The sequence below is a fragment of the Homo sapiens genome, chromosome 22 (assembly GCF_000001405.40).
Source record: "Homo sapiens chromosome 22, GRCh38.p14 Primary Assembly".
Taxonomy (NCBI): Eukaryota; Metazoa; Chordata; class Mammalia; order Primates; family Hominidae; genus Homo; species Homo sapiens.
Window position 1 is genome coordinate 39497236 of NC_000022.11, and position 25611 is coordinate 39522846.

General features: G+C 51.0%; 3 protein-coding genes and 1 long non-coding RNA gene across 9 annotated transcripts, besides 8 other annotated features; 3 read left to right on the forward strand and 1 right to left on the reverse strand.

The window, feature by feature from the left end:
* Positions 1–2864: 2864 nt before the first annotated feature.
* Positions 2865–20897, forward strand: MIEF1 (mitochondrial elongation factor 1). Of its 4 annotated transcripts, none has more exons than NM_001304564.2 (7): positions 2865–3022; positions 6968–7299; positions 14053–14203; positions 14614–14791; positions 14997–15259; positions 16282–16989; positions 17995–20897. In NM_001304564.2, exons 3-7 carry the CDS (start codon positions 14060–14062, stop codon positions 18136–18138), a joined length of 1437 nt encoding a protein of 478 aa, NP_001291493.1. In that variant the 5' UTR covers positions 2865–3022; positions 6968–7299; positions 14053–14059; the 3' UTR covers positions 18139–20897. The 4 variants fall into 4 exon arrangements, 2 of the variants coding, with proteins under 2 accessions (NP_001291493.1, NP_061881.2); NR_130790.2 differs by lacking the exon at positions 2865–3022 and adding exons at positions 5055–5202; positions 12187–12336 and having other exon boundaries at positions 15083–15259; positions 16282–20897; NR_130789.2 differs by lacking the exon at positions 2865–3022 and adding an exon at positions 5055–5202 and having other exon boundaries at positions 15083–15259; positions 16282–20897.
* Positions 3257–4925, reverse strand: LOC105373035 (uncharacterized). 2 transcript variants are annotated; one of them, XR_938263.4, is made up of 3 exons: positions 4799–4925; positions 4029–4357; positions 3257–3333 (listed from the first exon to the last, which is right to left on the reverse strand). It is a non-coding gene; the product is annotated as an uncharacterized LOC105373035 (long non-coding RNA). The 2 variants fall into 2 exon arrangements; XR_938264.4 differs by lacking the exon at positions 3257–3333 and adding an exon at positions 3742–3761.
* Positions 4835–5336: an enhancer, noted in NCBI's record as "H3K27ac hESC enhancer chr22:39898075-39898576 (GRCh37/hg19 assembly coordinates)". NCBI's record gives its function as "activates a minimal SCP1, AML or CMV promoter by ChIP-STARR-seq in naive H9 embryonic stem cells {active_cell/tissue: H9 hESC(naive)}" and the evidence as "EXISTENCE:reporter gene assay evidence [ECO:0000049][PMID:30033119]".
* Positions 5194–5243: an enhancer, noted in NCBI's record as "active region_19057". NCBI's record gives its function as "activates an Ori minimal core promoter by ATAC-STARR-seq in GM12878 lymphoblastoid cells {active_cell/tissue: GM12878}" and the evidence as "EXISTENCE:reporter gene assay evidence [ECO:0000049][PMID:35858748]".
* Positions 5337–5836: an enhancer, noted in NCBI's record as "H3K27ac hESC enhancer chr22:39898577-39899076 (GRCh37/hg19 assembly coordinates)". NCBI's record gives its function as "activates a minimal SCP1, AML or CMV promoter by ChIP-STARR-seq in naive H9 embryonic stem cells {active_cell/tissue: H9 hESC(naive)}" and the evidence as "EXISTENCE:reporter gene assay evidence [ECO:0000049][PMID:30033119]".
* Positions 5344–5453: a silencer, noted in NCBI's record as "silent region_13757". NCBI's record gives its function as "represses an Ori minimal core promoter by ATAC-STARR-seq in GM12878 lymphoblastoid cells {active_cell/tissue: GM12878}" and the evidence as "EXISTENCE:reporter gene assay evidence [ECO:0000049][PMID:35858748]".
* Positions 6996–7208, forward strand: MIURF (mitochondrial elongation factor 1 upstream open reading frame). The gene has a single exon (NM_001414695.1). The coding sequence runs from the start codon at positions 6996–6998 to the stop codon at positions 7206–7208; it is 213 nt and encodes a 70-aa protein (NP_001401624.1).
* Positions 13341–13866: an enhancer, noted in NCBI's record as "OCT4-NANOG-H3K4me1 hESC enhancer chr22:39906581-39907106 (GRCh37/hg19 assembly coordinates)". NCBI's record gives its function as "activates a minimal SCP1, AML or CMV promoter by ChIP-STARR-seq in primed H9 embryonic stem cells {active_cell/tissue: H9 hESC(primed)}" and the evidence as "EXISTENCE:reporter gene assay evidence [ECO:0000049][PMID:30033119]".
* Positions 22665–22864: a silencer, noted in NCBI's record as "silent region_13758". NCBI's record gives its function as "represses an Ori minimal core promoter by ATAC-STARR-seq in GM12878 lymphoblastoid cells {active_cell/tissue: GM12878}" and the evidence as "EXISTENCE:reporter gene assay evidence [ECO:0000049][PMID:35858748]".
* Positions 23245–23394: an enhancer, noted in NCBI's record as "active region_19058". NCBI's record gives its function as "activates an Ori minimal core promoter by ATAC-STARR-seq in GM12878 lymphoblastoid cells {active_cell/tissue: GM12878}" and the evidence as "EXISTENCE:reporter gene assay evidence [ECO:0000049][PMID:35858748]".
* Positions 23324–25451, forward strand: ATF4 (activating transcription factor 4). Of its 2 annotated transcripts, NM_182810.3 has the most exons (3): positions 23327–23516; positions 24119–24436; positions 24538–25448. In NM_182810.3, the coding sequence occupies exons 2-3, from the start codon at positions 24211–24213 to the stop codon at positions 25365–25367; spliced, it is 1056 nt and encodes a 351-aa protein (NP_877962.1). In that variant the 5' UTR covers positions 23327–23516; positions 24119–24210; the 3' UTR covers positions 25368–25448. The 2 variants fall into 2 exon arrangements, with proteins under 2 accessions (NP_001666.2, NP_877962.1); NM_001675.4 differs by having other exon boundaries at positions 23324–24436; positions 24538–25451.
* Positions 23755–23804: an enhancer, noted in NCBI's record as "active region_19059". NCBI's record gives its function as "activates an Ori minimal core promoter by ATAC-STARR-seq in GM12878 lymphoblastoid cells {active_cell/tissue: GM12878}" and the evidence as "EXISTENCE:reporter gene assay evidence [ECO:0000049][PMID:35858748]".

The window sequence follows — 25611 nt, forward strand, 5'->3', positions numbered from 1 at the left end:
GGGTTCAAATGATACTCTTGCCTCAGTCTTCCAAGTAGCTGGGATTACAGGCATGTGCCACCACGCCTGGCTAATTTTGTATTTTTAGTAGAGATGGGGTTTCGCCATGTTGGCCAGGCTGGTCTCTAACTCATGACCTCAAGTGGATCTGCCCACCTCAGCCTCCCAAAGTGCTGGGATTACAGGTGTGAGGCACCTTGCCCGGCTTCATCTTTCTTCTTTTGCGCTTCCACTTGTATATTTGCTTCTTCCTCCACTTAGCTCTCGTGGCACAGAGGTTTCCAAGAAGATGGTGCCAAGACCGAGAGACTCTTCCAGTCTTGACCAATGAATTCTCCATGAGGGCTGACACCAGCCCATATGGGCCTTTGTACTCATTGGCAAGGGCATCCCTTCCTCCAGACATTTTACTTCCATTTACTGGAAAACTGCCATCGTGCACTGATTTCGTTAGAATGATAAACTGCCTTCTGCCAAAGAAATGTCGTAAGAAACATACAGTTCTACAAGGTCTTGATGTGAAAGGTGCCCCTTAGATGTGGTACCTTTGTGCAGTGTGTGACATGAACAACTACGCCCAGCAGCCCTGCCTTGCCTCACATCCTAGCTCTGATTCTATCACTACCCCCAACTTTTTTTTTTTTTTTTTGAGTCAGAGTCTTGCTCTGCTGCCCAGGCTGGAGTGCAGTGGCGTGATCACGGCTCACTGCAACCTCTGCCTCCTGGGTTCAAGCAGTTCTCATGCCTCAGCCTCCTGAGTAGCTGGGATTACAGGCATGCACCCCCACGCCCAGCTAATTTTTGTATTTTTAGTAGAGACGGGGTTTCACCATGTTGGCCACACTGGTCTCGAACTCCTGTCCTCAAGTGATCTGCCTGCCTTAGCCTCCCAAAGTGCTGGGGTTACAGGCATGAGCCACTGCGCCCAGCCACTACACCCCAACTTTAAAATAGTCTATGGCTCCCCATCACAGCAGTGCCAAGTCAAAATTCTGCTATAGTTTCAGGGAGCCCCTGTTATCCTATCCTACTACTTTGTCCCATCCCCTTGGACTGCAGTAGACATCTAATTCAAAGGCAGCCAATCCACCTGCAAGAGGGCGTTCGGTGAGCAAGCTTACATTCCCTTTGTCCCTTTCAACACCACCTGGCACAATGTGGGCAGTGGAGATTTTACAGGTGAATGGGGGACCGGCCCTTCTGCCTGGGGATATCAGGTTCTTGTCTGGTGAATACAGGAATAATGACATCTGATGACAGCAAACCCCATTAAGAGGGAGGAGGCTCTCTCTTTGACAGTAATTTCCAAGTCGCTGGCTGGCTGACTTCCCAGAGCTTTCCTGATCTGGCTACAGGAACCAGGAACTCCTGATTCCTCTGTTCCTCCATCAGCCTGGAGTAACCCCTGGGAGGGGGTGGGGAGGAGGGGGTGGGCTGGACTGAGCTTTCTGCCTTATCATCCAGTAGCAATTTCCCTCTAATTCCCTCTAAGCATTTACACAGGGTCTCAATTTTATAAGGCATCCTACTGGGCAAAGCAAAGGGAACGAGACTGGTAAGACACAGGCTCCTCTGCCCTTTTGCTGGGAAGCCTGGGCTGTCCCTCCCTGCTCCCCCTGCAGCTAAGGGGCACCTGGCCTCTCTCACTGTCCCCTGTCTCCTCTGTGACATCACGCCATTGAGGGCTCCCTCTCTCTGCGTTTTTCAACTTCTCTCCCTCTTCTGGCTGCCCCCTCCCTGCATCAAGGCTAGAATAAATACCAGCCAACCCCTAAACAAACCCAGATGCAACACATACAATTGGCTTTTGTCCCCTGTAGCTGTCCTTTCATCTTCTCTTTCCCTTTCCAGCAAAATCACTGTCTCCATTTTTTCTTTTCTTTCTTTCTTTTTTTTTTGAGACAGAGTCTCACTCTGTTGCCCAGGCTGGAGTGCAGTGGCATGATCTCGGCTCACTGCAACCTCCGCCTCCTGAGTTCAAGTGATTCTCCTGCCTCAGCCTCCCAAGTAGCTGGGACTACAGGCGCCTGCCATCATGCCTGGCTAATTTTTCTATTTTTAGTAGAGATGGGGTTTCATCATGTTGGCCAGGCTGGTCTCAAACTCCTGACCCCAGGTGATCCGCCCACCTCAGCCTCCCAAAGTGCTGGGATTACAGGCGTGAGCCACCACACCCAGCCTCCAATGACATTTTATAATTAGCCACCCCTCACCTCATGCATCAGGCCTCACATGCCCTCTCTGATTAATCTTCAACAGCCTGATAAGCTAGTCCTTTCTCACCATCTCCAATACACAGGTGGAGGGACTAAGGCTCACGAAGCCCAACGCACTTGCCCTGCACTCACCACCAACCCACCTTTCAAATGAGACAGGCTTGATCACCCTGACCCAGGTGAAATGGTCCATCCCTCCTGTCTTTCCACAAAACGTTCATTCATTCAACAATTACACCCATTCACTACTATATGTGAGTCACTGTTCTGGGTAAGCGAGTGCTCCCCTCTCTCCCTCCAGCCATGATCACCATTAAGAGGCTGATGCCATCATCTGGATGTGAAATCAGGGGGGTTACTGTTAAACCTGCAATATCTGGCCGGGCGTGGTGGCTCACACCTGTAATCCCAGCACTTTGGGAGGCCAAGGCGGGTGGATCACGAGGTCAAGAGACCGAGACCACCCTGATCAATATGGTGAAGCCCCGTCTCTACTAAAAATACAAAAATTAGCCGGGCATGGTGGTGTGCGCCTGTAGTCCCAGCTACTCGGGAGGCTGAGGCAGGAGAATCACTTGAACCCGGGAGGCAGAGGCTGCAGTGAGCCAAGATCGCGCCACTGCACTCCAGCCTAAAGACAGAGCGAGACTCCATCTCAAAACAAACAAACAAACAAACAAACAAACACCCTGCAATATCAATCCAAGAGATCCTGGAATGCCTCTTGCCCTGTGAAACCTGGCAGAGCCCTGAGGTTTGGGTCAGTGCCCCCTGCCGTGGGTCTCTGGCCTACAAAGGCACCATGGGTACGTACATGTAAGTGCTAGATACCACCTCACTGCCCACACTCCATTGCCACGGAAGCATCGGGGGCAGGGAGAGGCCTTGTCAGTCTAAGTAAAGATAAGACCCTGAAGAGCAAGTGGATCTAGAGGGGCTGATCCGAAGGGGAGACCCCTCCAAATGACCTCCCTCTGTCCCTCCCTCCGAAAAATAACATTCCATAGAACAAGAAAGTCAGGAGAGATATGAAGAGGTCATCTGGTATGCCGATGGAAATGCCACCAATTATATTTATTTGGGTCACAAAATTCTTTAAAAAGCAAATTAGGGCAGCCTGAAAGAGTGGAAAGAACACACATTTCAGAGTAAGACAGACTTGGCTTCCACTGAAAGCTTCTTTCCTTCTTAGCTCAGTGTCTTAGAAACTACTATGCCTCTCTCCATCTTGGTTTTCTTTTCTTTTCTTTTTCTTTTTTTTGAGACCGAGTCTTGTTCTGTCGCCCAGGCTGGAGTACAGTAGCGTGATCTTGGCTCACTGCAACCTCTGCCTCCCAGGCTCAAGCAATTCTCCTGCCTCAGCCTCCCAAGTAACTGGGATTACAGGTACAATGCCACCACTCCCGGCTAATTTTTGTATTTTTAGTAGAGATGGGGTTTCACCATGTTGGTCAGGCTGGTCTCGAACTCCTGACCTCAAGTAGATCCGCCCACCTCAGCCTCCCAAAGTGCTGGGATTACAGACGTGAGCCACCGTGCCCAGCCCTGCAACAGACTCTTGATTGGTCTCCCTGCCTCAGCCCTGGTTCCATTCCGTTATTCTCAAGCCAGACAGATCCCATTGAAAGGGAAGTCAGATCCCAGCACTTCTTGGCTCTGAACCCTGCTGTGGTTCCTTTGCACCCGCCATCTCCCTCCCAGTTCTGGTAAGGGCCTCCCCTCTGGCCTCTTTCCCAGCTCCTGCTCACTCAGCTGCGAAAGCACTGGCTTTCTCCCTGTGGCTCCTAGACCACGCTGAGCTTAAAGGCTTACCTGGGGGGAGGCCTGAAATGCTCTTCCCTGCAATGTTCTTCTCCTGGTTCTCGTCCTTTTATCAGATAGCCTGACTATTCTGCAATTGCCCACCCCTCTACTGGTAGATATTACCTTTTAATCCTCACCACAGCCCCAAGGCTGGGTGAGGTTAGGAAACTTGGCAGAGGGCAGCTGTCCCTAAGTGGTGGAACTGGAACTAGGAGCCAGCGGTGGCCCCGGTGGCCCCGGACTCCAAAGCCCCAGGCCCTGGGCTTGGCAGAGCCAGGCATGGAGGGAGGCAGTTGGGGGAGGGAGCTTCCATAGAGACACGGCCTCCGTCCTCAAATCTAGTGAGAGACAGAGAAGCAAATGGATAAATTACAGTGCCTGGCATATGGTAGGCGCCAAGAAATACGTTTTGTTGTTGAACAGATTATGAGGCGTAAGATGTGCAGACATTTCCGTGGGGCCCAAAGAAGGCACGTGAGTGTGTTAGAGGGAGGCGAGGAAGGGGCTGGGAGAGATTTCCCAGTGAAGGGGGGCATTTGAGGTAGACTTTGAAGGAAGGGTAGGAGTTTGCCAGAAGCCATGGGGCCTGGGGAGTAGGAACAGCATGGAGGGATGAAAAGAAGGCGATCTGAGAAAATGGGTTTTGAGGAGCTCTGAATATTAGTGTTAGAATTCCCTCAGGTACCCCAGGGCCCCAGCCAGAGATCAGCATATACAGTACAGGAGGCTGGCCAGGTACCCCGACAGGCTAAGGGGTTGCCAGCAGGTGAGGGGCCTACCCGGTGCGGCAGCCTTGTTGGACAGCGAGGCTACCTCCTGCCCTCTGAACTTCTGCCAGCATCGGGACCACCCCGGTACCCACAGCCGGACCCGGACACCGGAGTCCTCTGGGGGCGGGGCGCGAGTGGCCTCTGCAGGCCAGTCCCTTGGTGAGGTCACACACGGAGGCGGGGCTCAGGATTGGGGGGCGGAATCATGCGCAGGGGGCGGGGCCCGAGAGAGAGCTTGGAGAAGACCGGAAGTCCCTCCGCCTCCACTCGCCCTCGTGCTCCCTTCAGCCCCTTCGCAGCTCCGTGCGCAAGGTCGTGTCCCGGAAGTGAAGGGGCCATGTTGATGGGTGACCCGGGGAGAGGTACCCGGCCAGAGGCGAGTCCTGCGGAGTGGTAGCGCGCACGGCCTGCGGGTGAGTGAGAGAAGGAATGAGGGCCGCCGGCGGCTGGGCGGCGGGGAGGTTGCAGCGCCTCCTCTCAGGCTGCTGCCGGCGCCTCGCATGCGGCCCGGAGTCAGGATACCAGCATGCAGCCGGGGGTCTCGCCCCATCCCGCCCTGGACTTTCCCCTGGGAGACCCCTCGGCTGCCCCGCCCCGCCCCAACCTCGGAGACCTCCAGTGCCCCGAAGCAGGCCTGCCCTGGCCTCTGGGCCTCCGCACCCCGGCCCGGCCCCCACGGTTGGTGAAGTGCAGACTGGCTGGGGCTCAGCCGCCCAGTCGCCCAGCGACCTTGTAGTTACAGCCCTCGCCGTGACAGTCGCCTTTTACAGCATCAAACACTTCTGTTGATTTTCTGCATCGGGAGGTCCTTAGGGCCGAGGGATCTCTTAAACAGTTGAGGAAAAATGGGCAGGGATGGTGGCTTGCTCAAGCTTGCGCAGGAAGTTAGCAAGGCCGGAGGCTAAGGGCTCGCGGACTTTGGGCCCAAAGTCCAATCTTTTTTTCCAGCCAAATACTTCCCCCACTTGGTGTCATTTCTTTATTTCTGAAACGGAGGTGATCATTTCTTCCACATAGGGACGTTGTGAAATTCTCTCCGTTACGCATAATTTTGAGCCCCTTGTATGTGCCAAGCGCTGTGCTGGGAAAGTTCGTGGAGCACCCAGAAGTGCTGTACACACGGTCCGGCTCCAGCAAAGGGTAACTCATTCCAGAGGCAGGCAGAGTTGGGGTCAGGAGTGCAGCCCTCCCCTTGACAGCTGTGGGCCCGCGGGCAAGTTACTTCCCTCTGGGAGATTGTTTCCTCCACTTAAAATGGGGTAATGTTGACCCCTAGGGTAGCTGACAGAATGAGTTGTTATGTGAGACATGCTTCGAACATTGCACGTTGTATATAGTGCAATATAATGCAATAAGCATTTACTGTTACTAAGAACCCTGACCACCTTCTAGATTCTTAATTTAAATGTGGTCATGGGCAACAAAGCACTTTACAGATATGCTTGTGTAAGGGTTTATTGTTACTGAAGGAAGGCAGTGGCAGTTTATACTTAAATGTAATTATTTATTGAGCATTTACAAACCTGGCTAGGTGCTACTAATAATATCTGCTGTTGATAGAGTGCTTCGTGTGTGCCAAGTGCTGTTCTAAACATATTCACATACATTAAACTCATTTAGTGCTTATGCCAACCGTATGGGCAAAATATGATTTTTATCCTCACTTCACAGATGAGGAACTGAGACAGTCACAGAGAGGTTAGGAGACTTGCCCACGGTCATGCAGCTCGTAAGTGCTGGTGCCAGGATTCAAGTATGGCTGAGTGCTTGTCTTCAACCCTCCTAGATCACCCCCTGTGGTGAAGTTCTATTACCGTTCATTACGTGCACAGTTCTCAAAATAATCCTATGTGGTAGGTACTATTGCCATAATATCCTAATCTCCATTTTATAAGTGAGGAAGCTGGTGCTCAGCGGGGGTTCAGTCCTTTGCCCAAAGTCATATGGCAAGTAAGTGGCAGGGCCAGGATTTGAGCCCTGGTGAACCACAACCTGTATGTTTCCAGAATGGGCATCCAGAGGCTGGGGTCTCTAGTTCTAGTCTTGCCATTAAGTCATACGGTGACCTGGAGCGGGGGGTCTCTGGAACTTGGATTAAAAAGCCCTCACATAGTCTCTACAGGTCCTTTTGTTATTAATTCTGATACTAGGCTTGTATGTCTTTCCTTCTGTTTATAGTGTGACACCCAGCCCCTGCCAGTCCCCCATGGCCCCGTGGAGCCGAGAGGCGGTGCTGAGTCTCTATCGGGCTCTGTTGCGCCAGGGCCGACAGCTTCGCTACACTGATCGAGACTTCTACTTTGCCTCCATCCGCCGTGAATTCCGAAAAAATCAGAAGCTAGAGGACGCTGAGGCCCGGGAGAGGCAGCTGGAGAAGGGCCTGGTCTTTCTCAACGGCAAATTGGGGAGGATCATTTAGGATCCTCCAAGGGAAAGAGGACAAAGGTGCCTTCTGTAGACACTCCTGCTCTCTTCCATCCCCATCTTACAGATGTATTAAGAAGCCTCAGGTACGTAGGCCCTCGTTCCTGTAGGTTTCCTTATTTTTTGTTGCAAGGGACCGAGAAAAGGATCAAAGTCATCCTTTTAGTCATTAGAAATCAGTGCAGAGCCAGGTGCACTGGTGTGCACCTATAGTCCCAACTCTGCAGGAGGCTGAGGCAGGAGGATGGCTTCAGCCCAGGAGGTTGAGGCTGCAGTGAGGTATGATTGCACCACTGCACTCCAGGCTGGGTGACAGAATGAGACCCTGTCTCTGGGGTGGGGGGGAAAAAAGAGGACATTTGAGGTCTGCCTCAAATGAGAAATAGAGGTTTACCAGCAGCAGGGCAGGAATAAGCAAATGCCTGGAGTGGGAACTGCAATTTTCTTTTTTAAGAGACAGGGTTGGCCCGGTGCGGTGGCTCACGCCTGTAATCCCACCACTTTAGGAGGCCAAGGCAGGAGGATCACAAGGTCAGGAGTTCGAGACCAGCCTGGTCAGCATGGTGAAACCCTGTCTCTACCAAAAATACAAAAAATTAGGCGGGCATGGTGGCGCATGCCTTAAGTCCCAGCTACTCAGGAGGCTGAGGCAGGAGAATTGCTTGAACCCGGCACGTGGAGGTTGCAGTGAACCAAGATCGCGCCACTGCACTCCAGCCTGGGTGACAGAGTGACACTCCGTCTCCAAAAAAAAAAGAGACGGGGTCTCGCTCTCGCCCAACCTGGAGTACAGTGGCATGATCATAGCTCTCTGGAACCTTGAATGCCTGGCCTCAAGCAGTCCTCCCTTCTCAGCCTCCTGAGTAGCTGGGACGCCAGGCATGTACCAATGTGCTCAGCTAATTTTTTATTTATTTATTTTTTTTGTAGAGACGGTCTTGCTATGTTGCCCAGGCTGCTTTCAAACTCTTAGCCTCAAGCGATCCTCCCACCCTTGCCTCCCAAAGCTTTGGGATTATAGGTTCAAACAGCTCTGCCTGTCCAGAAACTGCACTTTGTAGTCTGGAAACTTAAGTCTGATGTGGCCAGCATGGTACCCCTGTAAGGCAAATAGCCAGAGTTGAGGCTGGGCCTGGTCTGGAAGGACGTTGACTCCAAGTTGAGATTGTAATGTATATCTTCTTATGTGGGGACCATCACAGCTCTGTAAACAGAGGAATGACATAGCCACATTTGTATCGTAGAGGGAGCATACCAGTGGCAGTGTGAAGAATAAATTGATGAGAGATACTAGAGGCAGTGGATGTAGCCAGATCAGATTGAGGGACCGAGGGGTGGGGGTGGCCACATATAAACACAGTGTGTACAGCAGTGGGACTTGGTGATCAGTTGGCTGAGGCAGGAGGAGGAGAGAGAAAGATGAAGAGTAACTGGGTGTAAGGCCTGCCAGCTGGGTGGAGGGTGCTGCTTTTAACTGGGGGAGGGAAAGTAGGAAGAGAGCCTTATGTAATGACTTTTGGTTCTTCTCAGCCACTTAGGATTGGCATATCTGCCTTTGGCAGTACAGGGCCAGGGGTGGGGTGATGCCCATGGGAGCCTGTCTGCACAGGGAGGGTTGGCTAGCGGATCTAGGAGGGAATTAGGGCGTTCCTTGAAATCTTTGTGTTCCTAATATATTTTGGCTGTGAGTTGGGCTACACGCTGCTATCACTACCCCCTCAAAAAAACCAAGAAACAAAACGCCGTAGAGTTAATACTTCATTCCCACAACATATACTCCCTATGCATCAAACACTGCACACCCTGGGGATGCAGCAGTGAATGAGCCCAAATGTCCCCCAGAAGCATATGGTCTGGGGGTTAATGGAGTGGAGATGGGAACAAGGTGTGGAGCAAGTACCTAGGACCCCTGTAGATTAGTTCTCCGCACCGCGTGATCTCAGGGTTCAAATCTTGGTCACATACTTTACTGACACAGTGACCTTGGGTCAGTTACAGAAACTACTCAGTTTCTTCATCCTTTAAATTTGGGATAATATTACTGATCTCATGGGATTGTTGTTGTGAGGATTGAGGGAATTAATAATAAGTGTAAAATTGCCAGCACATAATACACACTCAATATCTGCTACCTAGTCTCGTACATACTCAAGCAAGATAGGTTTATAAAAAGGCCTATGGCTTTTTCAATTAAAATAAGTTGGAACTTTCACACTTCTGTGCTGTCATCCTAGGAAGCCGCAAGGCCTCCATTATTCATCATCCTTAACTATATTAGGGTGATGAGCATTTCTGTTCCCATTTTTGTATCTAGCGAGACAGGTTAAATAACTTGCCTGAAATATTGGCAGAGCTGAAATTCTCCATCCCTAGTTCTGCCCACCAGGTCTGTGTTCCTTCTTTGTTTTTTATTTTAACCATCTTAACCATTTTAAAGTGTACAGTTCAGTAGTAGTAAGTATATTCACATTGTTGGGTAACAGAGCCCCAGAACCCTTTTCATCTGGCACATCTGAAACTCTGTACCCATTAAGCAATGGGGTTCCTTCATGACAGTCCCGATTGGAGGTGGAGTTCTTACCTGCTAGTAGGCTGTAAGCTTATGCAGCAGAACCTGAGTGGAGAGCGTGTCATGGAGAAGCAGTTTAAACTGGAACAAGTTGAATTAACTTTTCAAGTAAGGTCCGTGTCTGTCTGTTGAGCTTGTGGATGCCGTCTTCTGTTCCAGGTCACCAGGTCTGTGATGTCAGTCCGTCCTTGGATGGTGGGCGGGGGGTGCCTATTGCACTACAGTAGGAAAAGCCTTTTTTTCTTGAGATGGAGTCTTGCTCTGTCACCCAGGCTGGAGTGCAGTGGGTGCAATCTTGGCTCACTGCAACCTCTGCCTCCCGACTTCAAGCGATTCTCCTGCCTCGGCCTCCCGAGTAGCTGGGACTACAGGCGCCTGCCACCACACCTGGCTAATTTTTTGTGTTTTTAGTAGAGACAGAGGTTCACCGTGTTAGCCAGGATGGTCTCGATCTCCTGACCTCGTGATCTGCCCACCTTGGCCTCCCAAAGTGTTGGGATTACAGGCGTGAGCCACCGTACCCGGCCGAAAAGGCTTAACAAGCTGGCCCAACTTAATAGTTTTGATCTCAGCTGTTGGCTCACGCCTGTAATCCCAGCACTTTGAGAGGCCAGGGTGGGCAGATCACCTGAAGTCAGGAGTTCGAGACCAGCCTGGCCAACATGGTGAAACCCTGTCTCTACTGAAAATACAAAAAATTAGCAGGGTGTGGTGGCTCATGCCTGTAATCCCAGCTACTAGGGAGGCTGAAGCAGGAGAATCACTTGAACCTGGGAGGTGGAGGTTGCAGTGAGCCGGGATTGCCCCACTATACTCCAGCCTGGGTGACAGAGTGATACTCAGTCTCAAAAAAAAAGAAAAAATAGTTTTGATCTCAAGTCCAAGATGGCATCACTGCGAATTTTCAAGGCCGTTTTAGAGCAGTCTCAAAAGGTGCACTGTCACTCAGAGGACAGTCTGGGTTGCTGACTGACTTCTGGAAGCTGACCTTTGTCCTGTGGATGGAAATCTTAAAAGACTAGAGGAGAACTCATTTGTGGAGCACTTTTACAGTTTATAGACCATCCACTGCAATACAGTTTATACCGTTCACATACAGGATTGCAGTGAATGGTTTTTCCTCACTACAACCCTGTGATTTGGTCCCACGCGGGGACCATTATCCCCTTTTCGTAGCTGAGGTGTTAAGTAACTCATTTGAGGTCACCCAGCTAATAAGTCAGGGCTCAAGGCAAGTTCTGTATCTCAGGATTTCTGACTCTAAAACCCACGCTCTGTTCTGTCATCTGTAGCACCACCTTGCTCTCACCAGTCATCAGAAGGGCACCAAGGACTAAAATGGTCCAGGGAGGCTGCTTCTGCCCTGAGTGAGGAGGTGCCCTTCTGGCCCTGCTGCATCACACTCAAGGATCATTTAGAGGGCACATGTGTCCAGTGGCTCTCCCTATTGTAAATATTTCAGTAAAGAGTTAAAACAAGAGACATTGTTATGTGTGGGGAAATGTATAGTGTTCTGCTTTTCTCCTGATTGGGTTATCTTGCCTCTGCTAAGTTTGGTTTGTCCCGTCTCTATCTCAGTGGCCACTGGAGAGAGGGTGTCTGCTGTTCTTCCCTGATTCCACCTGTAAATACAAACGTTATCTCTTCTCCCTGGCTTTGCTCTGTGCATTTGAGGTGGGAATGTACTCGGTTTGGCGAAATAGTCTTTCATGTCCCTAAACCTGAAGCCTCTATTGACTGTAAATGGTAGAGAAAAGGAAAGTACCCCCAAGGTGTGAACTCTAGTTAGGGAAAAAAATATTTTTGGGCTTGACAGTGACTCTTAGTTAACTCAATTACTGGAATAATAGAGTCAGAAATATTTCTTTGTTTTTCAGGGAGGTAGAGGCAGGAGCGTAAGATGTGGAAGCTAGAAATATCCACTTGTAACACGGTATTAGAAGGAATGTTATTTTACATGGAAGATAATCCTCAGTGATCCTTTTTTTTTTTTCTTCAAGACGGAGTCTTGCTCTGTCACCCAGGCTGGAGTGCAATGGTGATTCTCCTGCCTTGGCCTCCCGAGTAGCTGGGATTACAGGCATGCACCATCATGCCTGGCTAATTTTTTGTATTTTTAGTAGAGATGGGGTTTCACTATGTTGGCCAGGCTGGTCTTGAACTTCCGACCTCGTGATCCACCCACCTTGGCCTCCCAAAGTGCTGGGATTACAGGTGTGAGCCACCGCGCCCGGCTGATCCTGTCTCTTGATGTCCTCCCATTCTGGGACGCTAAATGGTATCCGACTTTGTTTTCCCTTATGTCATTCCTGGTGTGAAGGACACGGGATATTATAGAGGAGAGTGGCAGCATGCTGAGTGGTATTCCGATCTGAATCACACTGTCATCCTTTATCCGGCTCAGGCCCAGGGTTCTAACTCCACAGGAATGGGCTTATCTGGGGACTGCTGCTGCTGCAGTCAGGAAGACTCCACTGTAGTCGGGAGCAGCACTGGCCTGAGCACTGCACTGGAGGCCAGCCTCTTCGCTGTGGTGCCCAAGTACTTCTTTCAGGTGAACACATTTTTAGTTCCTCTTCCAGGTGTAATCGAGCAGATGGGTGTTTTGTTTTCCAGTTAGCAGTCGAGTCTGCAGTGTCCTTTGTGTTTTTTATCTCCCGGTATACCAGTCTCACCTAAGCTTTTATAGTCCCCGCTGCGCACTTCTCTCAAGAAACAAAGCATTTGTCAAGTAGGAGGGTCCATGGAGGGACCTTTCTCACATATGGACGTGTAGTTTCAGTTCCGTGTGCAGGATGTTTGGTACATGTTGTTTTGTGTTTTGTTTGCAGAAAGTAGATAGAATAAGGGCCGATTTGATTTGGGTAAGGGTGAGCATGGTACAGTAGAAAAAGCGTCATACAAGGAGTGGGGAGTCCTGAGTTCTGGAGATGACTGTGTCGTTTTGTTTTCGTTTTTGAGACGGAGTTTAGCTCTTGTTACCCAGGCTAGAGTGCAATCGTGTGATCTCGGCTCACTGCAACCTCCGCCTTCCGGGTTCAAGGGATTCTCCTGTCTCAGCCTCCTGAGAAGCTGGGATTACAGGCATGCGCTGTCACATCTGGCTAATTTTATATTTTTAGTAGTGACGGGGTTTCTCCATGTTGGCCAGGCTTGTCTTGAACTCCTGATCTCAGGTGATCCGCCTGCCTCGGCCTCCCAAAGTGCTGGGATTACAGGCGTGAGTCACCGTGCCCGGCCCATTTTGTTTTTTTATTTTTATTTTTAAGAGATGGGGTCTCACTCTGTCACTGAGGCTAGAGTGCAGTGGCGTGATCATAGCTCACTGTAGCCTCAAACTCCTGGGCTCAAGCATTCCTCCTGCCTCAGCCTCCTAAGTAGATAGGACTACAGGCATGTGCCACCATGCTCAATTTATTTTTATCTTTTACTTTTGGAGATGGGGGTCTTGCCATGTTGCTCAGGTTGGTCTTGAACTTCTGGCCACAAGCGATCTTCCCACCTCAGCCTCCCGGGTAGCTAGGATTATAGGCATGAGCCACTGCGCCTGTACCATTTCTTTTCTCTGAGACCTGACACATCACCTCCCTATGTTGAGAACCTCTGTGTGAGGTGATGTGATGGCATTAGATGAGCTCCAAGGTCCCGCTCAGATCTAACCTTCCACAAAGTAGTGGCCAAAGGACGAAGAAATGACCTGCATTATAACCCCTGTGATGGGGTAGAGAGACCTGCTTTATAACCTCTGTGAAGGGGTAGAGAGACCTGCATTATAACCCCTGTGAAGGGGTAGAGACCTGCATTATAACCCCTGTGAAGGGGTAGAGACCTGCTTTATAACCCCTGTGAAGGGGTAGAGACCTGCATTATAACCCCTGTGAAGGGGTAGAGACCTGCATTATAACATTGTGAAGGGGTAGAGACCTGCATTTTAACATTGTAAAGGGGCAGAGAGAGGGCTGTTTTGCATGGTGGGGTACTTCATTGTAATACAAAAAAGGACTGACACTGAGCTTAATGCTTTCTTAATCTCACTAGCTTGGGGAAAGTTTTCCTACAATACCCAAGATCAGCCCCTCCTCCTTGCATCCTGATCTATCATGGGACATTGTAGCTCCCTCCAGACCCTAAAGCATGCAGTGCTGGAGGCAAGAAGATTTGGGTTGCTGGAACTCACAGAGTACCCTGTACTTGTTGGGGTTTGGCTTGTTAGGGGAGGGAGGTTCTTGGGGTCCCAGTACTTATGGCCGTGTTCTGTCTTCATTCTCAGATGAGCAATGGCAGGCGCTGGTGAGCGCAAAGGCAAGAAGGATGACAATGGCATTGGCACGGCCATTGACTTTGTGCTCTCCAATGCCCGGCTGGTGCTGGGGGTGGGTGGAGCGGCCATGCTGGGCATCGCCACGCTGGCAGTTAAGCGGGTAAGTGCATGCAGCCAGGGCTGGGGGTGGAATGTAGTGGTATGGTCATAAGATGTAATGTTTTATAGAAAGAAAATGTCGAAGCGTTCTAGGAGGAAATGATCGCAATGATAAGTGAAAAAAACAGGTTTCAAAAGTATGTATAGAGTGATCGTCATTACATGCATCTAGAAAGAAACATACCAGATATTACAAACAGTTTTCTCTGGGTCATGACGTGGATTATCTATGTCTTATATCATGTAGTCTTCCCTGAGATTTTCTGCGTGGAGCAAAGTATTCTATAATCTAAAATAAAAACAAAATTACTAAAAGAACTTACTAGGACAGAGCTTCTGGGGAGGAAGTAAATTGGAAGGAAATAGGGAAAGAGGGCAGGTTTATGTCCTGTGTCCTCTCTGCTATTTCAGATGTACGATCGGGCGATCAGTGCCCCTACCAGCCCCACCCGCCTGAGCCATTCGGGGAAAAGGAGCTGGGAAGAACCCAACTGGATGGGCTCCCCACGACTGCTGAACAGGGACATGAAGACGGGCCTGAGCCGGTCCTTGCAGACCCTTCCCACAGACTCCTCCACCTTCGACACAGGTGAGAAGGGCTGCTGCCCCTCCTGGGACCTCTCTGGACTTTCAGTACCACTCCTGCACTCAGCAGATGTTTCCTGAGCACATCTGTGCCAGGCACTGTGCCAGCACTTGCCCTCCATGCCAGGCCCTTCTTTCTGGGGCTGAGGCAGCTGTGGACTGAGCAGGCATGGGCAGAGCTCACGTGCCTCTCTCTCTTGCCTTGGCAGATACATTCTGCCCGCCCCGGCCCAAGCCAGTGGCCAGGAAGGGCCAGGTAGACTTGAAGAAGTCACGACTCCGCATGTCCCTGCAGGAGAAACTTCTTACTTACTACCGGAACCGGGCAGCCATCCCTGCTGGAGAGCAGGCTCGGGCCAAGCAAGCTGCTGTGGACATATGTGCCGAGCTCCGGAGCTTCCTGCGGGCCAAGTTGCCTGACATGCCGCTTCGGGACATGTACTTGAGTGGCAGCCTCTACGATGACCTGCAGGTAACAAGGTGGTTCTCATGGTGGGTGGGGTTTGAGTGCTGAGCACCATAGTGTTGTTGGCACAGATCAGTGTCCCAGGCTTGCCAGAAAGACTGAGGTCTTACAGCTTCCGAATCCTGTGTACCTCAGCAGCATTTGGAGATCCATGCTTGTTATTCTTTTTTTTTTTTGAGACGGAGTCTCACTCTGTCGCCCAGGCTGGAGTGCAGTGGTGCGATCTCGACTCACTGCAAGCTCTGCCTCCTGGGTTCAAGCGATTCTCCTGCCTCAGCCTTCCGAGTAGCTGGGATTACAGGTGTGTGCCACCACTCCTGGCTAATTTTTTTGTATTTTTAGTAGAGACGGGGTTTTGCCATGCCGGTCAGGCTGGTCTCGAATTCCTGACCTCAGGTGATCCACCCACCTCGGCCTCCCAAAATGCTGGGATTACAGGCGTGAGCCTGGCCTGTTATTCTTTATTCTTGTGTCTTTAATCGTTTCTCATGTTTTAGTCCTACTTACAACTTCTAGGAAGCTATAAGAGGCCTCCTCCTTCCTATATTCTTGTGCCCATCTCTCCTTTCTAGTTTTCTCACTCTGTGTAGATTGCATGGTGACATGAAAGAATTTTTTTTTTTTTTTTTTGAGATGGAGTCTTGTTCTGTTGCCCAGGCTGGAGTGCAGTGGCACGATCTTGGCTCACTGCAACCTCCGCCTCCTGGGTTCAAGCAATTCTCCTGTCTCAGCCTCCTGAGTAGCTGGGATTACAGGCACACGCCACAATGCCTGGCTAATTTTTTTGTATTTTTAGTAGGGGATGGGGTTTCACCATGTTGGCCAGGCTGGTCTTGAACTCCTGACCTCAAGTGAGCCAGCCGCCTCAGCTTCCCACAGTGCTGAGATTACAGGCATGGGCCACTGCGCCCGGCCTAGAGTTCCCATTCTTGCTGGGGGGGAATGTAAGATGGTGGGAACCGTCTTAGAGGAAGCATGTCTTTTGAACAGAGTAAACCCTCAAAACCCTTTAAATTCTGCCCTGACAGGTGGTGACAGCTGACCACATCCAACTCATTGTGCCCCTTGTGCTGGAGCAGAACCTGTGGTCATGTATTCCTGGTGAAGACACCATCATGAATGTCCCTGGCTTCTTCCTGGTGCGTCGTGAGAATCCAGAGTACTTTCCTCGTGGGAGCAGTTACTGGGACCGCTGTGTAGTAGGGGGCTACCTCTCTCCAAAGACAGTCGCAGATACATTTGAGAAGGTAGTGGCTGGCTCCATCAATTGGCCAGCCATAGGGTCCCTCTTGGACTATGTGATCCGCCCGGCCCCACCCCCAGAAGCCCTCACACTGGAGGTGCAGTATGAGCGTGACAAACATCTCTTCATTGACTTCCTGCCATCAGTGACCCTCGGTGACACAGTCTTGGTGGCCAAACCACACCGGCTAGCCCAGTATGACAACCTGTGGCGGCTGAGCCTGCGTCCCGCGGAGACGGCACGCCTGCGGGCTCTGGACCAGGCTGACTCGGGCTGCCGATCTCTGTGCCTCAAGATCCTCAAGGCCATATGCAAGTCCACCCCGGCTCTGGGCCACCTCACTGCCAGCCAGCTAACCAATGTCATCCTCCACTTGGCCCAGGAGGAGGCTGACTGGTCTCCGGATATGCTGGCCGACCGTTTCCTGCAGGCCTTGAGGGGACTTATCAGCTACTTAGAGGCTGGAGTCCTGCCCAGTGCCCTAAACCCCAAGGTGAACTTATTTGCAGAGCTCACCCCTGAAGAAATAGACGAATTAGGATACACTCTGTATTGCTCATTGTCTGAGCCAGAGGTGCTGCTGCAGACGTAGGGCAGGTGAAGGCCAAAGCGGGTGTTGGTGGTCAGGCCCTGGATTCTCCGTTAGATACACTTGGCTACCTAGTTGGTGCCTCACAGGGTTCCTGCTGCCTGGTGTCTTGCTGATCATCACCCTGGTCACTTCATGCTGATTAGAATGACATCTCTTTCGTCTCCTATTTTGTTACCCAACTCTTCCTATTTTTGTTACCAATCACTGTGCTCTCTGCCGCCCCCTGGCTCCAGGCTAATTTTTCTGGAATGAATTGAGAAGGTGGCGTGCTGGCCTGAGCTGATGGACCACTTGGTGTTTTGCGTTTTGGCCCATGTTTGCTGCCTCTATCTGGTCTGCCTTGCCCGTTTGCCTGTTCCTATTCAGTGTCTTTTCTATTTTTTCCTCTCTCGTTCATGCCTTCTGTTTTGCTCTTGTCCCTGGAGCATATCTGCCTAATTAAGATGTTGCCTTTTAGTTGAATGCCACTGAAGAGCTGTGATAGCATGTTTCAAAGCTGAACTCTACAGAGCGAGTGCTGAGACAGTATTTAGGGTTTCTGGGAGTGAGGCTGGTAGAAGAGTTGGCCTTTGACCACGGTTCCTGGAGTAGAAGTCCATCCTCCCCCCAACCTCCTGACCCATTCATAAATGCTGAGAATGTCTCTCATGGGAACACTGTTAATGACCCACACAGGATAAGCTGAATGCAAAGTTATTTGCAGGTTGAATTTCTTGGTGGCTATTAGCAGAAGTGCAGAGTAGGGAACCAGAGCTGGTTAAGGGCCTAGTGAAGGGTTTGTGTGCCCAGTGTCTGCTCGTCATCTGTGGCTGCAGGGGTCAGACAGACAAGGATGGGGACTGCCAGGGCACCACTTCATCATGAATGCTGGTTTTCACACCTTTTCCTTATTTTATTGCCAATCAGGACAAGGCCTTGAAGGAACGCAGCCTTAGACATCAGGTGAGGATGATGGAGGTAGACAGTCGACTGAATGTCAGCTGGAAAATCCAGTCACTAGTTGGGGTTTGGTGGCCATGTTTTCTACCCAGACAGGCCCTGCTTTTCTAGGATGTGGCCTTAGAGCAAGAACAGACCCAACAGCCAGCCCTTCATCCTCCAGCGTCTGCCATAGGAATGTGAGAGGGGTGTTTGCTGAGCGCTCCGGGCACGGCCAGAGGGCAAGTGAGCATGCACGGACCTCTTCCCCCTGTCCTGTTTCTCACCCAGCACCTGGGGAGATCGGTGCTACCAAGGAAGAGAGCACACAGATAAGACAGAGGGGAGGAGGTGGGCATTTCCTACATTCCTCCTTGTTTGCCGCTGCTGAGATTGCAGTATTTATTGCAATGTAAATGTATCCTGAAGGTGGGGAGGAATGTTTAATCTACCATGTCCGTGTGTCATCTTGGTTTGTGTTTTTCCCTGTTTGTAGCAAGACTCTGATGATAATTCTGTTTCTCATCTGCCCATTCAGTATTTTGTTTTCCTTCCGTCAAGTTGTCTTATTTTTTCAATGACTACCTCTCCATCATTGAGGTTCTGGTGAAGCTCTCTGCAGCTGTCTCATTCCTTCCCAACGATAGTAACAGGAAATGACTCTTTAGCATCGATACCTCAACATCAATTTAGGGTAGAGATTCCTGCCCCTCTTTTGTCACAGATTAGGAAATTGAGAACTAGGGTTAACCTTGACTATATTTAGAGGTCTTTTTGCCTCTTTTCCCCTTAACAAGGATTTCTTATGGTGGTTTCAGTTTCATTTGCATAAAGGTATTGAGAGGGAACAAAAAACATAAAGCTGAGAATCTTGAGAGAGCTCATCTACCCTGTCTGTTGGTCAGACTCAAATGAGAGTTAAAAAAAAAAAAAAAAATCTGTATGCCTGAGTACCATCCTGGATGAATCTAGAAGGTATGGGGTAGAGCTTGACAGGGTTCCTGTGTACCCACTGGGTATCCGTTAGAGGTAAGGGAGAGGAGAGGATTGATAGAGTGTTGCAAAAGTATAGATTATTCATTGAGATAAAGGATTTGGTTTCCCTGCCATGAGTATTAAAAAAATTTAAGTTTTCCCAAGCTTGCATCTCTGACCAAATTTCACATAAAACATTGGAAGGAGGCTGGGTGCGGTGGCTCATGCTTGTAATCCCAGCACTGGGAAGCTAAGGCGGGTGGATCACTTGAGGTCAGGAGTTCGAGACCAGCCTGGCCAACATGGTGAAACCCCGTCTCCACGAAAAAGATAAAAATAAGCTGGGCGTGGTGGCAGGCGCCTATAATCCCAGCTACTCGGGAGGCTGAGGCAGGAGAATAACTTAAACCCGGGAGGCGGAGGTTACAGTGAGCTGAGATCGTGCCACTGCACTCCAGCCTGGGTGACAGAGTGAGACCCTATTTCAAAAAAATAAAAATTGGAAGAAGAGCTTAAAAAAGATAAGATTTTAAAGAGTCCCAAGTTATTTAAGTTGAGTGTAATTGTCATTTAAGGAAGGCAAATGAGTTTATCATCCTTCTTAAAGAGCATCTCTTTTAACTGTTGGACAAAACCATAACTTTGTCATTTTACAAGGAAGAACCTCTTAAGAAGTCCTCAGAACCAGAAGCAATGTGAACTCTCAGCGCTGGTCCTGGTGGGTTTGCTGACCATGACTGGGCAAGCCGTTCTTTTTGCTGCCATCTTCCTCATCATAAAGTGTGGAACATAGGCAATTGCTTTGAGATTCTTGGATAGAAGAGGACAACATTCTGCACCTGCCCCCTTTTTTAAATCTTTGGGGAAAGATGAGTAACTTTCCCCACTACTCTGCCTTCCTGTTCAGTAACTCTTACTTTTGCCTGAAGTAACAGCATCTTCTACTTCTCCATCTAGAGATTTTTGTGTGTGTGCCATCAAGGTTAGCAAACTTTATACGTAGCCTAACACTTAAAAAATGCACTCATTATCTTAAACCTAATAAATTCCAGAGTTTATTTTGGTTCTCCTCTGTTGCCCTTCCTAAAAAATGAGCTGAAGATGACAGTATTTTTCTTTACATGCTTGGTTATGACTTTTAAAGTTTTATTTAAATAAATGTTGAAGCTCAAGTTTAAAGAAGCGTTGCAGAGGCCCACGGTCTCCTGGGTCCCGGCCACCTGTCCATATTCCACATTTGCTGACTGTGCTCCCTGCACTCCACTCAAGTTGAGAGTTCAAATAGTCTTGAAGGGGAATCAGCTTCAGGATGGAAGGACCCAGGAGAGGCCCCGAGGTGGGAGGGTTCTGTAAATACAGACTACTGCGAGTGTCCAGAGCTCTCTGCCATGATACTTCCTTGGGACTGACTTGGCTGAGAACGTGTTCTGTCAGAGGATTTGTTAGAACTCTGCCCTTTTGTCTGAAACTCAAGGCCAAGGAGAATGATAGGAGACTTAGGACAGAGCTGACCCTTGCACCAGGCTGGGAGGCTGCAGCCCTTTTAGATGCCACTTACTGTAAGTGGCCAGAATACCAGAGAGGTGGGTTCCATGGTCAAATGCACAGTAGGTGTTTACCTTTACATTTGGATCACCTTGTAGTCTTTAAATTCTTGGTCCCTGAGGCCAAGTCCACAACTTGCCTTCTAGTCACTTGCCTGCCCGCAGTGGTGGTGGATGTGTTAGCTGGTAGATTTGGAATCAGTCACCAGTCTTTCTGTACTGTCTTGGTTAGCTCTATATAAGTAGGGGCAGCTTAGCCCTGAGGCCCAGAGACCTGCTGTCCTTTTTCTCCTTGAGGGAGGAAATAAAACTGCGGAATACAATGTCCTTCCATAGCATGGGAAGAAGAAAATAAACATCTCCTTTCCAACAGCTGTGACTTGTGTGTGTCGTATAGAACATTTTCCTGTGGGAGTGGTACTGGGTCTCCATTTTCAGCTAGGGGAACCTTTGAAGTGTTTGAGCTAGGTCTCTATAAAAGAATGGATGGGACAGGCTGCCATGGGAGTCATTCTTTTATGACCTTTTCAGTGTCAAAATTGGGGCAGTGTTACTTTAATACTCAACCATTTGCACAGTCATCTGTCAGGAGGTACTGTCTATAGCAAAAGGAGAACACGTCCTGTGGGTCCCTAGTTCTGCCTTTGGAAGACATGGCTAATGGCTCAGGTATTCTTACTGCCTTTGCATGGAAAGGCTAGAAAACTCCTGTATTTTTTTTTTTTTTAAAGACAGGGTCTTGCTCTGTTGCCCAGGCTGAGTTGCAGTGTTGTGATCACAGCTCACTGCAGCTTGGAATTCCTGGGCTCAAGCAATCCTCCCACCTCGGCTTGAGTAGGTGGGGCTACAGGCTGGAGCCACTGCTCCTGGCGCCAACTTCTGTATATCTCAACACTCACGATTCCCCAAGGAGAAAGAAAAAACATACTTTTATTCCAGCATCCAGTATGCCTTGTGTATACCAGTTTTAAAGTTGTTGGTTTCATCTCATTAAATAATAATGAAGAGTCCTCTGAGGCAGCAGGAGGATGTGATGGAGAGTGGCAGAAGTCAGGGTCAGGAGACCTGAGTTCTATGAACAGTGGCAGCAACAGCAACCATTATTGGGCGCTTACATGTACCAGGCAGGCACTGTGCTAAGTGCTTTACATGTATGATCTCACTTCATGAGGCAAGGATACTCATCAGTAGTCTCATTTTACAAATGAGGAAACTGAGGCTCAGAGAGTATAAGTCATTTAGCCAAAATGTCCCAGCCAGGATTCTTTTGGATGCGCTCCCCAAAATCTGTCTTCTAACTCCTACCCCATACTCCCTCCACTGGGAGCCTTGTGACTTTGAGCAAGAAGCTTCATCCCATTGGGCCTCGGTTTACCATTGGAAAGGATTTGTGGGCGAGGTTGAATGAGCGCAGCAGATGGCCTGTGGTTATTTAGAGCAGTGCTTCCCTGGTTGTTTGATATCACAGCGCTCATACTTGTGTGGCCCAGTGAAATGGAGGCGGAAACTCAAAGTTTCCACCTTCACAGGGCCTGACTGGAAGGGGCTGAAGGATGATGGGGAGGTTTCTTGTATTCTTAAAACAGACTACCCCTTCCCAACGCACAACCCCCAGTAAGTGGCCGTGGGTTCCCAAGCGCCTCTCCTCCCTGGGCCATGGGCGTGACTGCTGAAAAGCGGGTTAGGCCGGGGAGTTCAGAATCCGGAGTGAATCCGAACTACCCCAGGGAGACGGCAGCGAAGAAAATCTTGTTCTTAGGAGAACGCAATCTTCGGACACCAGAAGTTCCTCTATGATGCTATTCTGTGGCAGCCTTGCACTTGAGCCGGATGAAAATTGTAAAAACCCAGGTTGGGCGACAGGACGGCGCGTCTTCCCGGCTCCTTTCCAGAGTTTAGGAGGAGCCATGCAGACTCAGCCGGCCTTTGGGGGTAGGTGGACAGGCCCGGCGCGCCCTCTCGAGGCCCCTTCAACCTCCCGGGGGCAGCAGCGCCGTGTCGGCTATGAATGGGGCCTCTGGAAAACTCAGGCTTGGAACAGGTAACCCCCCGGTTTCCGCAGGCCACAAATCACCACCCGCAACCGAAGGACGCGCAGGCTGGGAGCGGCGGCGGGGCCACCAGTGCGGACCTCCACTGAGGGCGGCGGGATCCGACCGCAAGGGCTGGTCCCTGAGGCCACTAAGGGGTGCGCTGGGCTAAGGCCGCCTGGGGGCAGGAGCCAGCGCGATCGTGGCGGGCCAGCAGGCGGGGCTGGCTGAGGACTAGCAGCGACCCGAGACCCCAACCCTTCCCACGCGGACCCCGGGATCCCTCTCCCAGCAGCCGCCCATCTAGGGCCCTGAGCCAATAAGAGCTCGAGATATATATGATTCACCGGGCCTGGGCCAATCACCTTGACGCGCGCTCTTCGCCAGCACCTCGCGCGATAACCTGGCGTCCTCGGCCTTCACAATAAAAACTCTTCGCCGGAAAACGACCTTTCCCCGCCCACTGCGCTGACACCGGAAGCGAGGCGTGTCTGGGAGATCACTCCGCGCTCCGGCGGCGAAGGAAAGAACGGACTCTGATCATAGAAGCCTAGTAAAGTAGTACACCTCTCTCCTTTCGTGAGGCCATAAGAACAAACTCCTTTTCTCGTCACAGCTACGCCCTGGGCATAAACGGTTGGGGCGTCAAAGGGAGGGAGGGAAGGGAGCGGGCGGGAGGAGACGGTCACGTGGTCGCGGCGGAAGGATGCGTCTGTGCTGCGTCCCCATAGAGACGAAGTCTATAAAGGGCCGGCGGGCGGCCACGGCAGCCATTTCTACTTTGCCCGCCCACAGATGTAGTTTTCTCTGCGCGTGTGCGTTTTCCCTCCTCCCCGCCCTCAGGGTCCACGGCCACCATGGCGTATTAGGGGCAGCAGTGCCTGCGGCAGCATTGGCCTTTGCAGCGGCGGCAGCAGCACCAGGCTCTGCAGCGGCAACCCCCAGCGGCTTAAGCCATGGCGTGAGTACCGGGGCGGGTCGTCCAGCTGTGCTCCTGGGGCCGGCGCGGGTTTTGGATTGGTGGGGTGCGGCCTGGGGCCAGGGCGGTGCCGCCAAGGGGGAAGCGATTTAACGAGCGCCCGGGACGCGTGGTCTTTGCTTGGGTGTCCCCGAGACGCTCGCGTGCCTGGGATCGGGAAAGCGTAGTCGGGTGCCCGGACTGCTTCCCCAGGAGCCCTACAGCCCTCGGACCCCGAGCCCCGCAAGGGTCCCAGGGGTCTTGGCTGTTGCCCCACGAAACGTGGCAGGAACCAAGATGGCGGCGGCAGGGCGGCGGCGCGGGCGTGAGTCAAGGGCGGGCGGTGGGCGGGGCGCGGCCGCCCTGGCCGTATTTGGACGTGGGGACGGAGCGCTTTCCTCTTGGCGGCCGGTGGAAGAATCCCCTGGTCTCCGTGAGCGTCCATTTTGTGGAACCTGAGTTGCAAGCAGGGAGGGGCAAATACAACTGCCCTGTTCCCGATTCTCTAGATGGCCGATCTAGAGAAGTCCCGCCTCATAAGTGGAAGGATGAAATTCTCAGAACAGCTAACCTCTAATGGGAGTTGGCTTCTGATTCTCATTCAGGCTTCTCACGGCATTCAGCAGCAGCGTTGCTGTAACCGACAAAGACACCTTCGAATTAAGCACATTCCTCGATTCCAGCAAAGCACCGCAACATGACCGAAATGAGCTTCCTGAGCAGCGAGGTGTTGGTGGGGGACTTGATGTCCCCCTTCGACCAGTCGGGTTTGGGGGCTGAAGAAAGCCTAGGTCTCTTAGATGATTACCTGGAGGTGGCCAAGCACTTCAAACCTCATGGGTTCTCCAGCGACAAGGCTAAGGCGGGCTCCTCCGAATGGCTGGCTGTGGATGGGTTGGTCAGTCCCTCCAACAACAGCAAGGGTGAGTGGGCCACCACCACATCGTCCTGGTGGGATCTAGGGTTAGGGGCCTCCTACCTTTGTATCTGACTCACTTGGCCCCATCACTCAAATGTTTTGCAGAGGATGCCTTCTCCGGGACAGATTGGATGTTGGAGAAAATGGATTTGAAGGAGTTCGACTTGGATGCCCTGTTGGGTATAGATGACCTGGAAACCATGCCAGATGACCTTCTGACCACGTTGGATGACACTTGTGATCTCTTTGCCCCCCTAGTCCAGGAGACTAATAAGCAGCCCCCCCAGACGGTGAACCCAATTGGCCATCTCCCAGAAAGTTTAACAAAACCCGACCAGGTTGCCCCCTTCACCTTCTTACAACCTCTTCCCCTTTCCCCAGGGGTCCTGTCCTCCACTCCAGATCATTCCTTTAGTTTAGAGCTGGGCAGTGAAGTGGATATCACTGAAGGAGATAGGAAGCCAGACTACACTGCTTACGTTGCCATGATCCCTCAGTGCATAAAGGAGGAAGACACCCCTTCAGATAATGATAGTGGCATCTGTATGAGCCCAGAGTCCTATCTGGGGTCTCCTCAGCACAGCCCCTCTACCAGGGGCTCTCCAAATAGGAGCCTCCCATCTCCAGGTGTTCTCTGTGGGTCTGCCCGTCCCAAACCTTACGATCCTCCTGGAGAGAAGATGGTAGCAGCAAAAGTAAAGGGTGAGAAACTGGATAAGAAGCTGAAAAAAATGGAGCAAAACAAGACAGCAGCCACTAGGTACCGCCAGAAGAAGAGGGCGGAGCAGGAGGCTCTTACTGGTGAGTGCAAAGAGCTGGAAAAGAAGAACGAGGCTCTAAAAGAGAGGGCGGATTCCCTGGCCAAGGAGATCCAGTACCTGAAAGATTTGATAGAAGAGGTCCGCAAGGCAAGGGGGAAGAAAAGGGTCCCCTAGTTGAGGATAGTCAGGAGCGTCAATGTGCTTGTACATAGAGTGCTGTAGCTGTGTGTTCCAATAAATTATTTTGTAGGGAAAGTACTTGTGCGTTTGAATTCCTTTCCTGGCAAAGTAACCGAGTGAAGCGCCACCCACCCACCCCAAGCTGGTCTTAACATTTCCTGTGAGATCTGGGGGAGGAGGCAGTCCAAGGCTGAAGATCGGTTCCCAGAGTGGGATTTGCTCATCCCTGCTCGGTGTA